Source organism: Homo sapiens, chromosome 12 (assembly GCF_000001405.40).
Source record: "Homo sapiens chromosome 12, GRCh38.p14 Primary Assembly".
Lineage (NCBI taxonomy): Eukaryota > Metazoa > Chordata > Mammalia > Primates > Hominidae > Homo > Homo sapiens.
The window spans coordinates 34,021,791-34,034,891 of record NC_000012.12 but is presented as its reverse complement, the minus strand read 5'-3'; the positions used below and the strand labels follow the sequence as shown (position 1 = coordinate 34,034,891).

General features: G+C 34.6%; 1 protein-coding gene across 3 annotated transcripts, besides 3 other annotated features; it reads right to left on the bottom strand.

Annotated features, from left to right (window-relative positions):
* ALG10 (ALG10 alpha-1,2-glucosyltransferase) lies at positions 6,590–12,515 on the bottom strand. Of its 3 annotated transcripts, none has more exons than XM_024449230.2 (3): positions 12,417–12,515; positions 10,733–10,930; positions 6,590–9,029 (listed from the first exon to the last, which is right to left on the bottom strand). In XM_024449230.2, the coding sequence occupies exons 2-3, from the start codon at positions 10,919–10,921 to the stop codon at positions 7,977–7,979; spliced, it is 1,242 nt and encodes a 413-aa protein (XP_024304998.1). In that variant the 5' UTR covers positions 10,922–10,930; positions 12,417–12,515; the 3' UTR covers positions 6,590–7,976. The 3 variants fall into 3 exon arrangements, with proteins under 3 accessions (XP_024304998.1, NP_116223.3, XP_024304999.1); NM_032834.4 differs by lacking the exon at positions 12,417–12,515 and adding an exon at positions 12,122–12,396; XM_024449231.2 differs by lacking the exon at positions 12,417–12,515 and adding an exon at positions 11,994–12,115.
* Positions 12,390–12,576: a silencer, noted in NCBI's record as "fragment chr12:34175251-34175437 (GRCh37/hg19 assembly coordinates)". NCBI's record gives its function as "represses an EF-1alpha promoter that drives an FKBP-Casp9 reporter gene in an ReSE screen in HepG2 liver carcinoma cells {active_cell/tissue: HepG2}" and the evidence as "EXISTENCE:reporter gene assay evidence [ECO:0000049][PMID:32094911]".
* Positions 12,390–12,639: a biological region, named in NCBI's record as "ReSE screen-validated silencer GRCh37_chr12:34175251-34175437".
* Positions 12,490–12,639: a silencer, noted in NCBI's record as "silent region_4342". NCBI's record gives its function as "represses an Ori minimal core promoter by ATAC-STARR-seq in GM12878 lymphoblastoid cells {active_cell/tissue: GM12878}" and the evidence as "EXISTENCE:reporter gene assay evidence [ECO:0000049][PMID:35858748]".

The following is a 13,101-nucleotide window of genomic DNA, read 5'->3' as shown; positions in this document are numbered from 1 at the left end:
TGAAGGCTCCAGCCCTGAGTTATTTTTTTTACTTCCTTAAATTCATATTTACAACATATATCAATTTGAGGTATGATGACAAAAACAGAAACAAAAGACACAATGGTAGATGAGAATCTATCTCCTTGTGGAAGAGGCAAAATTAGTGTGGACTTCATTTTTCTGACCTATAAAACTAGGAAGTATAATCACATTATCTGTGACAATTTTTCCTTCTAAAATGCCATGAATTTGAAGATAGACTTCATGCCTTTCTCCATCATATCAATAGAGTTAAGAATATTGATTTTGGAGTCAGGCTGCCTGGTTATGAATCCCAGCTCAGACAGCTATTTTGTAATCTTGGAAAAAATACTTCACCTCTCTATACTAAGTTTCCCCATGTGTACGGTACTGATCTCATAGAGTTGTTATGAGACTAACATGGGTAAATCACTTTATAACAGTGGCTGATACAATGTTACACGAGTTTTCAAATGAGATATCATCACTCATTGTTTGTGGGAAAAGATTCTAACTATGTCATATGAATGAAGTATGCCATATGAAAAGATCATATCATATGGGAAGATATATTAGGTTAAATTGTCTAATGATTACAAAACACAAAGTGAGGTTTTTGTTTTGTTTTGTTTTTACCTGTATCTTAGCTTCATACAACTCAGGAAACATTTGAATAACATTATGATAAATAGATATAAATGATTATAAAAAATAAAAGAGTTTAATTCAGACTAATAAAAGTTTAATTACAACACTTGGAAATGTAGCACAATATCTCCACCTAGTGGACACCACCTTAAAAATTTTTACAGATACTGCTCAGCCTTTTTTTATCACTGGGGGAAAACTTCAAAGAGAAGTAATTTCACTAATATAGAGGGATAAAAAATAGAAAATAAGTTAAACACTATATTACTAGTGCTCCAAAACATCATCGCTAAAATACCTTTTAGTAAGTTGTATAACTCAAATGTTTTTCTAAAACAGGGTAACAGAATTAAATAGTAGTTTTGGTTTAGAAACTTAAAATGTATCAAAGACAGCATGTAAGTCATCAGAAATACTTGACCATGACTCAGCAATTAATTTTTAAAAAATTAGCTGTAACAAAATTAAGAATTTAAAAATCACAGAGCTTTAAAGATGTCAGATACCTTTAAAAGACATTTTACCTACTTGCTATCTAACTCTTCTGAAGTATCTTTGATAAATAGAAATCTTATCTCCAATGAATGAGAATCTTACTTTTTTCCTGGGCTTGTTTCTCTAAAAAGACTAAACAATTAGAAAAGTTATGCTTTTCATAATTTGCAATCTAATTGTTGACTTCTGATTTACACTTCAGGCAATACAGAATTAAGTCCAATCTTTCAAATAATTATTCTTCAAGAGAGCTTATCAAGTGATAGAATTTCCACTTATCCAAATTAAACATCCCACATACTTTTAGCCATTTGTCTTACAACAAAATTATAAGGAGTTATCATGTTGTTCATGCTCTTTTGAACAGTTTGTAGCATTTTAAAAAATGACTATATCCAGTACAAAAATAACATGCCATGAATGGTCTGGAAACTGCAGAGAGCAAACATGGATTTTCACCTCTCTCTCCATATACTACTTCTTTTGATTAAAAAAAAATTAATTTAAATAAACTTTTCATAGTGAGGCAGAATATGATGGTCAAAAACTCACAGGCTTGGGAGTCATACCAATCTATGTTCATTTAGTGACAGTGCGGACTTTGGGCAAATCACCTGACCTGCCTGACCTTCAGTTTCTTCAGCAGTCAAATAGAAATCAACATCTACCTCACAGAAATATAAATGTAGCATCAAATGAGACAATATTTGTAAATCAGCTAGTATAATGCCTAAAACATTACAGGTGTTCAATGAATGATGGCAACCATCATTATTATTTTTCCTCCCTTTCTTTTTCATCTTGTATATGCCGTACACACACATATATGGTTCAACTAAACTGAATTAAGTTTCACTGTGAAAAACCAACACATTTAATAATTTTCTCGTTGGAAGCTGGCACAGTGGTTCATGGTAAATCCCAGCACTTTGGTAGGCCAAGGTGGGAGGATCACTTGAGGCAGGTGTTCAAGACCAGCCCACGCAACATACTGACACCCTGTCTCAATTCTTACAAAAAAAAAAAAAGAGGAAATTAATATGTATACACACACACATACATTACATATATACAAATTTGTATATATAAATACATATATGTATGTATTTTCTTTTCCTTGTTAGAAAAATACTGTATCTTTTGGTCTGATGGTGATATGCTGAGATAAAATTTAATTAACATTCAATTCATCAAAAACTTCTCTCTTAAAAAAAGCACAATATACAGATATTATATTGTGACAAAATTTCTTACCCCAGAAATAATTTTTCAAATCCCAAATATTAAATATTAGTTTTGACTCATGGATATATGTTAAAAATATATTCTCAATCTCTATTTTTATTATAATTTTCTCAGTTACGCAAGTTTTTGCATATTGGAAACGTCAGTTGTCAACATTAAATACATAAAAATACCCTATATAAAAAATAATTAACAGCTATTCCTAGAGTGGTAAAATGTAGCCCAACTAAAAAAAAACAAAGTATTTGTAATTAGTTGAAATGTCTTTTACCTTTAAATTCTTTAACCTGTTATTGGTTGAAGTTTAATGATTTTTCTTATTTTAAATAAAAAGCAATTATTTTGAAATTATACCCTATTAAACTTTCCCTTTAAAGTCTTATAACCTCTTAATGGTTGAAAGTTATTTATTTTTCTTATTTTAAATAAACCGTAATTATGTTGAAATCATATCCTATCAAAGAAACAACATATTTACAAGTAAATACGTGTATAAGCATTAAATGCTAGCAGGGGTCTCCAATCTTTTGGCTTCCCTGGGCCATATTGGAAGAAGAACTGTCTGGGGCCACACATAAAATACACGAACACTAATGATAGCTGATGATCAAAAAAAAAAAAAAAAATCATAACAAATCTCATCATGTTTTAGGAAAGTTTACAAATTTGTGTTGGGGGCCGCATTCAAAGCCATCCTGGGCTACATGCGGCCTGTGAGTTGAAAAAACTTTCACTAAAGCAAATAAAAATTTTTAACCCTGGGTCAGAAAATTATGCACAAAAATGTTTAGGATGACTCTTATTATGAAACACGATTTACTTCCTAAAATTAGCCACGGTTATATGGATATTTTTTCTATTCACTTCACTCTATACTAAAAACTTCATTCAGTATATATTTACTCAATATTTATCATATGACATAAATATTATGAGTATATGGCAGGGATGAATCCTTTTTAAAATAAGGTTATACACATACCAATCAGACACTGACTAGAGTTTGGACAAATACTATTCTCATCTGAAATGAGGACTGAAGACTAAACCACTTGCCTTATTGATCCCAGAGCCACAACCAAATATAAAAATCTTAACCCCCATGTTAACTGTTTTTTTCTACAAGCCCATGGTTCCTAAGTCATATTTAAATTTCCATTTAAAAATTTTCAAATTTACATCACAATTCTTACTTGCTTCACTTTTTAATGAAATTCCAATTATTTCAAAGATAATAAATGCTTGCTAACCTAATAAACACAAAATGTATTTCTTCATATGAATAAATATTTTATTTAAAAGTGAGTCCAAAATAACAGTCCACTATTTAGGTGGTATAAATAAAAATGGTAGATCCCTTCCTCTCTCCTCTATTCCAACAATTCTAAGGAAAATAATATCAAGCCAAGTGGCAATTAAGTTCAAACTAGAAATGCATTTCATTAAGCTGTGTATTTATTAGAAATAAATTACACTAGGCTATTTATACAAAGTATTTTATGACTGGCTATGCACATTTCAGAAATAACTCTAAGAAGGCAAAGAAAAGTCCAGACAGCTAAAATAATGTATCTTGCCAAAATGAGATGCTATGTTTAAACTGAGAGATACTATCTTTCCAAATCATTTAAATATAGTCAGACGCAGTTCAAAAGATTTCTGACTATCCATTAATGGAAAACATAAACGTAACAAAATTCACAGCATACCTGAAATCTTACTAATTTACCTAAAGATAACATATCTCTAGAATTTCACAGAAGATAGAATCAGTTCAAAATGATGTATTACTGAACCTATAACGATTTATGGACTAGATCTTTTTATGACACTTTTCAAAACAGACATACTCACAGACTTTAGTAACGGTAACTGTAGGGCTCCATATGCCCTCAAGCAGGGCAACATTTTTTTTCATAATCACCTTATTTTAATCAATTCAGCTAAGTCTAATGTTTAAAAATTCATGAAAAAAAATCCACTCAATAACTCTTAAAAACACAAATATAACTAAGAATATTTCTAAAAGCAAGGATCTAAACACCTAAGAATGGTCTTCTCAGTTGTTTCAAGTGAATGACTTTGAGTTTGGTATCATTTCTTGAACAACTAAAGGCAAAAGGATATGTTGTGCCAAGTTCTTACATAATCATTTTATCTGTTACCTATTTTGGAAAATTCACCAGCAAATGGCCATCTTTGAACTGCCTAGAAAATTTAACCAAGACATTTATCTTAAATTCAAAAGTATTGATAAGCATTCCTGTTTTAAAATAATAAACAGTTGAAAATAGCACCTTTTAATACATGGCATTCTTTTCTTAAAATCCCAAGTACTATATGTATTTTATTAAAAATGTGGAAGATTAATCTGTTTCTCTCTGAATGTAGATTTTCACCAAAACATCTCTTAAAACAGCAGGGACTCAACACTTAAAAATGAACTAGAAGAGCTGGGCACAGTGGCTCACGCCTGTAATCCCAGCACTTTGGGAGGCCGAGACGGGTGTACTACCTGAGGTCAGGAGTTCGAGACCAGCCTAGCCAACATGGTGAAATCCCGTCTCTACTAAAAATAGGAAAAATTAGCCGGGCGTGGTGGCAGGTGCCTATAATCCCAGCTACTCGGGAGGCTGAGGCAGGAGAATTGCTTGAACCCGGGAGGTGGAGGTTTCAGTGAGCCGAGATCAAGCCATTGCACTCCAGCCTGGGGGACAAGAGTGAGACTTCTCCTCAAAAAAAAAAAAAAAAAAAAAAAAAAAAATCTAGAACAGTGATCCCTCCAAAGAGCAGTCTTCTTTAATTACAGGGTAGAATATTTTCCTCAATTTTGCCAGACTAGATCAGAGTGGAAGCTTCTCCTCTCAGAAGTATTCCTAAATACAAAATCCTTGCATTAATATTATCAGACAAAAAGTTATTTTCCCTAAATTATACATTCTTTTTTCAATTTTGACTTCTCGGATTTAGTTCTCTATTATAGTAAATTAATGACAAAAGTATAATTTCTCTGAGTGTCCTCTCTCGTCTAATTTTTAAAAAGTCTGGGTAAAACACGTTTTTCTACAATCACTGTTATAACTAATGCAACTCTATTTTCTGAGTACTAGAGTACAACCAAAAAACGGTCTGTATTTATCATTCAAATTATACTTGTGATTTTCACCTACACACAATTTTATATTTGTAAATGTAGAATCATTACTTAAAACTCAGAGAAACAAAATTTGACATTGAGGGGAAAGTAATTTGTTCACTTATAGCTACTTTTAAAGTTTGGAAACATAAAATTATGTTAAAAGAAGTGTTCTATTCATAATTCTAAGTTTACATGTCAAATTTAACATGCCCAAATAATACTTTCCTATAATGGAATGACAACCCAAAAAATACACTCAAAATAATAAACACAAAATTCAAAAAGTAACACAAAATAATCCTACCCCAGCAGTTGTTCCCTAATCTACAAAATAAGGTCAGACCAAATGATTTCTTAACTTTCAATTCTGACATTTTTTTAAATAGATAATGGAATCAAACACTAGTCACCTTTAGCTTTATATTACCTCAGAAGTCACTTACTTTTTAACCTCTCAGTAAAGATACTGAGAGTTATTTAAAAGGTATCGGCTAAGATATTATCTCCTGATCCAACAATCCCACTTCTGGGCATTTATCCAGAAGACTTGAAATCCGTATGTCAAAGAGAAGTCTGCACTCCACGTTCACTGCAGACAAGTCACAATTATCAAGTTATTCAATCAACCTAAATGTCCATCAATGGATGCATGGATAAAGAAAATGTGGCATATATACACAATAAAATACTATTTGGCCTTTAAAAAGGTAGAAATTGTGTCATTTGCAACAATATGGATGAACCTGGAGGACATTATGGTAAGTGAAATAAGCCAAGCACAGAAAGACAAATACCACATGATCTCACTTATTTGTGTAATCTAAAACAATTAAACTCACAGAAGTAGAGAGAAGAATGATGGTTGCTAGAGGCCGGGGATGTGGGAATGGGGAGATGATAATCAAAAGATACAAAGCCTCAATTAGATAGAAGGAGCATGTTTGACTTTTTTTAGATCTATTACACAACATGGTGAATACAGCTAATAATTAAGCACTGTACATTTCAATACTGCTGAGAGTAAATTTCAAATGTTTTCATCACAAAATATGTCAAATATTTGAGGTGATGGATAGATTAGCTTTATTTAATCCCACATTATATTCAAAAATCATAATGCCACTTTGTTTCTCATAAGTATATACAACTATAATTTGATATATAATAAAAAAAATCTAAAAAGGTAGTCTCCTAACAATCATATGAAGACTATCCTAAAATGTCCTTTAGTAACTGTCATGGACTGAAAAGTATCCCACGAAGAGACAATGTCTACTCAGATCATGTGAATACAAACTTACTTGGAACATGGGTCTTTGTAAACATAATTAAGGGTCTCCAGACACAATCACCCTAGATCAGGGTGGGCCCTACATTCAAAGACACTGTCCTTAAAAGGTAATGAAGAGAAGACAGAGGGAAAGGCCGTGTGAACACAGAGGCAGAGACTGGAGTGAAGATTGCTGTCTGCAATACTTGGACAAGATTTGTCCAGAAGCCAAAGAACTCCAAGAATTGCACACAGCCACAAGATATTAGGAAACAGACATAGAATGTCTGTTTATGGATTCTTCCTTAGAGCCTCCAGAAGGAACCAACTCTGCTGACACTTTGATTTTAGACTTCTGGCCTCCAGACTGTGAGGAAAATTGTTGTAAGCACCCAAGTTTGTCGTCATTTGTTATGGAAGCCCTGGGAAGCTAATACAATATGTATTTCAGAAAGGAAATCCCCCTTTTAAAGGATTATAATCAATACAATTTGTCTTTGGCCATCATACATTTCATATTAGGAATTAGTGAAAGAGCTTCATCATTTCTAGATTGTAAACAATAACCAACAATTTGATGTCTAGACAGGCATATATGAGTCTCTACTTTATCATTTACTATCTATGCATTTGTATTTTGACTTAGAATTAAAATTATATTACTGAAATGTTAAGCAACTTTTCAATCAAGAATATCACCTGACCATTTGTAAATATTTGCTAATACATTGTTATTAGGTTGGTAAAAAAGTAATTGTGGTTTTGCCATTACTTTCAATGGCAAAAACCACAATTACTTTTGCACTAACCTAATATTTCTCTCTGAAGAGAATAAATTCATTCCAGTAATATGAAGCATACCCAGTTTTAATAAACTTGTACATACAAAACATTCCCAAGCTTTTTAAGGGGCCAACATTATGAGAGTGATATGAGATATCTGAAAACAATTTTATTTTTCCATTTTTCAGGCTTTTGAAGCAGGTCTTAAGCTTTCTCAGTTCTTTGCCACTTAATTTCTTACATATGTTTAAAATATATATAAAAAAAACTAATGTAATTTGAAGACCACCACTGCACCTAAAAGAAATTCCATGTTTTCCACCTATTCAGTTGTTCTTTGTAGAAATGGTCTAATTATTAAGTCCATTTTCACAGTTCGAAATATCACTGATATTACCACATAAACCTTTGAATGTCCTGACTATTTGGCCACTGAAAAGTCTTGTTCAGAAAGATGAAAAAAGTTATGAAATTAACAACTGCATAGCAGCTCAGTTCACAAATGAGTCTGGATGTGGGAGGCAGAGGTATGTTAAGCCTATAAATGACATAAGGTAAAATGAAGTAACGAAATTCCAGCAGTTTCTGAGGAACTATAACAGTGAACAAGCATATGAAAAACATTAAATTCCAAAAAATTGACTTTGATTTCAATGAGTCAGCTATACTCCAACCAGCAAATATATAGGCTGGAACTAACAAATATTTTACAGTTTCATATCTTTGAAAAACTCTTTTCCACACATAGAAAGTATAATGTCTATTGTCTGCTAGCAAGTATTTATGAGCATAAGTGAATTTCCAAACTAAAAACACAGAGACTAAGGTAACCACAAAAAACAGAATTCTACGTTTCCAAACTAAGGAAAGAAAAGTCTTAATTTTGCTAGGAGACAGGAGATGAGGAAAGGAAAAAAAGAGAGTAAATGAAAAAAAGTAGAATAGTTGAGGAAAATGAAGACAGGCTTCATGACTACTCCGATCGCCAATAACAATTCCACCATTAACTACTACAAAAGCACAAAACAGAAATCCCAGAAGGATGTAGGGCCAAGTCAGAAGCAAAAGCATACTCAAGTTTTTAAAGGACATGGAATAAGCCAAAAGAAACTGAAGAATTTTTCTGAATTCTGCAAATGGTCCTTTAATAGGTGGAAGTCTGTCTTCCTTCTTTTGTAGCTCAGTTTTCCAAGCCTCCGTTAACTTTTGTGCAATGACATTTCCTGCACAGAAGACAGCCCAGATGATATTTGTTTGCCGAAACATGAAGCCACAAAATCCAAGGAAGGCTGAAGTTTTATGATTTCCATAAAGACACATCAAATACGCAAAAAGAGTAAAAAACATAGATCCTGCTTCTGTATAATAAAGGAAGTTAAAAAAATAAAGTGTTGGAAATACTGCTAGTGTTAATGTTGACAAGACTCTCTGGATACTTGAGGCAGCCTTGGAGGAAGAAGAAACACAGATAAAATTATTTTCATGACAAAAAATGCTATTTCTGCTTACCTAATGAAGAAATTTATTTAAAAACTACTCAACTACTCAAACCTTCTTTAAATAAAATTAATCAATATTAATCTTATCTCTGGCTTTGCAAAAACACAATATACATTTATAAGAACACTTCCTGGTACTTTTTATGTATACCTATCAGTTTGGAGACCATGTGTATGCCAAATCTTCTATAGCTTAACACAATTGGAATCAGGCAATGATTAGTTAAGGAGTTATTGAGTGCAAGATACTAACTAAGTTCTATGTGGACTATGGAGATAAATAGGACACGGTGCTGGCTCCATTTCCCTGAGCTTATGTTTTAGTGCCTTCAGTAAGGATTCACTTAGCCATAATGAACCACTTTCCTTTAAGGAAATCCTTCATAACTCTACACAAGGGAGAATATAAACATGCATATGGTATACTACCATACCCAGACTTACTTTTTCAAGATGAAATTTTCATGATGAAATAACAGGTATTTTTCTGAAAAGTGAGCCTGTCTAAAGTTATATATCTTCTTTTGGCCTTTCTGACATGCTGTTTCAGAATTTGAAAGTGTTCTTATGTTCTTGAATTGTATACTCCACTTAATCTAAATCACCAAATCAGACCATGCCATTTCCTTGATTAAAATTAAGGTCTTTACATTACATGCTAAAGTTCAAAGTCCTCTCTGTGACACATAAGGGCATTCATGACCTACTTCTCTAGCCTTACATCCCTCTACTTTTTAATCCTGTAATTCCAAGACCAATTCCCTGCAACTCGTTGTTCAATGCCTTTCTTCCTTTTCTTATGTTGTTTGTCTCCCCAGGATTAATTCCCCACCCTACACAGCCCTATCCGTTCATCAAGACTCAGCTCTGGTACCATCTTCTCTGTGAGGACTTACCAAATGCCACATACTCCCCTCCCTCCCAGAAAAGCAGTAAGTGTTCCCCTGCTCCTTCTCTGTATCCTCATAGCATCTTATGTTTACCACTCTATCATAACTGACACTACTGAAATCATCTCTTAAGGTTAAAAATAATTATTAGAGTTAATATTTACTGAACCCTTACTATATCTCTGGCACTGTTCGAAGCATCTTCCATTTATTAAGTTTCTTTGTTCCTTTATAACAGTTCTATAAGGCAGATTCTATTGTTATTCTTATTTAATACATGAAGACATGGAGCCACTAAGGGTTAACCTGTCCATGGTAACAAAACTGGTTAAGTGGCAGGGAGAGAATTCTAACCCAGGCAATCTACCTCCAGGGCCTGCACTGTTATCACATCAAAAGTCCTCAGGTAAAGTCTGTTTTCCCTAATGAATATATACGTTTTACAAGAAAAAGACTGCCTCATTTATCTCTGTAGTCCCAGTCCCTAGCACATGGAATAAGTTCAGTAAGTATTTATTGAACTGGTTTGACTCACTTAACAAATATTTACTTCAGATTTTACAAATAAGTTATTCAAGTATTTAAATACGAATTTATTCTAAAATGGAGATGGAGGATTTAAATTTACCTTTACATAATATACAAAAATACAAAGTTACAAAGTGTTAAAGACATTTTTCACCAAATCTCATAAAACTAATTCATTGTAATTGTGGACCTGACTACACATAAACTTGTAATTAAGTATTTTGAAACATACCTTGTTTCTGGGTTGTACCTTGCAGAAAAGCAAATATAGTAAATAGAAGTTGCCAACACTGAAGAGAAGATTAACAAATCTGAGCATCCCAATGGAGCAGACAACATGTTCAGACCATCCAAAGATCCAAATGGCAGGTTTGATCACTCCAATTGACACCAGGTACAAGCCAGGTAATGTAGTAATCATGGGATCCCACTTTAAAATGAAAGAAAATGAAGTAAAAGCAAGAGGTAATAGGAACAAGACAGGCACAAATATGTCAAGCCCAAGTCTCATCTCCAGCAACAATCAGAAATTTTGAGAAGTTATTCTATGACAAGATTAAGTAAGTCCTTGGCAGAACAGGATTCGTTTTTCTTATTTTTTGCCCCCGGACCAGCTTAGTGATGGTTCAGGTAGCAGCAACCAATAAACAACAACAACTTAAAATCTATTTCTATTTTCCAAGAAATGTTCTTTAAAAGCCTTTATTTTGATAAATAAACTGCAAATGTTCCAGTTTTTAAAAGCATGGAAACATTGTTTGGGACTCTTAAGTTTAGGAAAACATTTGGACCACAGGCTCCATGATGACAGCTAACATAAACTGAGACAGAAATTGTTGCCAAACCCTCTGTATTAACGTTACAATATGCCCTATAGTAAAGATTATTGTCATTTTGCAGATGAGTAACCTGAATTTCTGAAACTCAGAACATCTCCAAGATCACAAAACTAGTAAATCACAGCACCAAGATTTAAGATCAGATCTTTCTCTAAAACAGACTTTATATTTCTAGCCAGTACCCTATATTGTGTCACCAGAGAAGCAGGGGATGCTTATTTTGATATTTATATGTACATACTTGCACAGTCAAATATATACTCAAAAATGATGTGACTTGACTGGTTGCCAGTTTATCCAGTTAACAGTTCACTAAAAATACCCAGGGAAGGAATTTGTGATTATAAATTGTCACTTTTTGGTAGCTGAAGATCCCTCCAGTCCACCCTATCCCACCCCTAAAATGCACAGTGAGGTGCTTGACAGGTGAGCTAAAGGAAAGTTTTCTGGTATTTCCAAGGAGCACCCGAATGCCTTTAATCCTAAAACAAGGAAAGACAAAGTGGGATCGATATCGTCAGCTGCCAAGAGGAGGGCTCAGTTCCCCGTTGAGTATTCTCCCAGATCACTCCTTCCTGGAGGACAGATCTGCTGTTTATTCATTCATTTAATAAATATTTCACAGATCTCAGAGACAGGAACAAAAGACTATACCCAGTTTCTTTCATGTTCTGAGGCTTGAGGGGGTGGAACAGGACGAGTGAAGTCTAAGGATGGGAGGACGTGGGGACGCTGGGACCTCTCAGGCCTCTCCTGGGGTGGGGACAGGTTGGGGACCCCACCTGGGAAAGGGAGAAATGGCCCTCACAGTAGCGCTGCGCCTGAGGCAGGTGGAAGATCTCGTCCATGTAGGGCTCTCGCAACGCCCGGCTGAAGGCGGAGAAGAGGAGGCAGGATACTAAAAAGGTACAGCTCAAGGCGGCCGAGAAATAGTAACCTTCCAGCTGCGCCATTCCAGCTCCCACAGCCACTGCCCAAGAACCTACTCCTGGAAAATTCTGAGCCTGGAAACCCGAGCTGGAAACTTGGGCTCGAAATGGGCGCGCTAGGCGGGACTAGCCAGACGGGGCCACATACCGGAAGGCAAAGGATGCTGGGAGAGCGCGGATCCGGAAAGATCGGGTCGCTGTTTCCCGGAGTGACGGGTTTAGATAACGGACCGGATGATTACCCTCTCAATCGCATTGCCCGGGGCGCACAAAGTGTCAAAACTTCCGGAAGGGGCGGGTCTCGGATTTCGCCAGCGCGGGAGGTGCGTGGCTTGCTGCTTAGAAAAAAAAAAAAAAAAAAAAAAAAAAAAAAGCCGCTTCTTAGCTTGGATCTTTTTTCCTGCTCACTTCCATCACTTACCAGAAGGTGGCGACGTTTCCCCACGTTTCCAATTCCAAGCCCTAAAATGGACACATTTTTTCCCCCGTTATTTCTGTTATTTCTCTCCAGTGATCCGAATTAATTAAACCCTCAATTCCAAGACATTTCATTCCATCAACTTTGGAGTGTAGGAAGGGTGCGTTGGTTGTGATAGCAAAGACTGAGAGTTTTAGATGAAAACTTGAAGAACCAGAGACCCGTCAATGCCGAATGAACTTCAGTGAGAGGAGTGTTTGTTCGTTTGTTTGTTTAGGTTAAAAGAGAACTCTTTCAAAATGTGGATGCTCTCAGAGGATTTAGTTAAATTGACATTCCTAGTGCACTTTCATAGTCATATTACCCTGTAGGATTTGGAAAATACATATATATTTTAGAATTCGGGATGTTTTAG

Coding starts and splice junctions, on each gene's coding strand:
- ALG10 (NM_032834.4), bottom strand. CDS start 12,292: ATGGCGCAGCTGGAAGGTTACTATTTCTCGGCCGCCTTGAGCTGTACC. Junction 10,931..12,121: donor GCCATTTCTCCCTTTCCCAG/GTGGGGTCCCCA, acceptor TTCATTTTAAAG/TGGGATCCCATGATTACTAC. Junction 9,030..10,732: donor AGGTACAACCCAGAAACAAG/GTATGTTTCAAA, acceptor TCTTCCTCCAAG/GCTGCCTCAAGTATCCAGAG.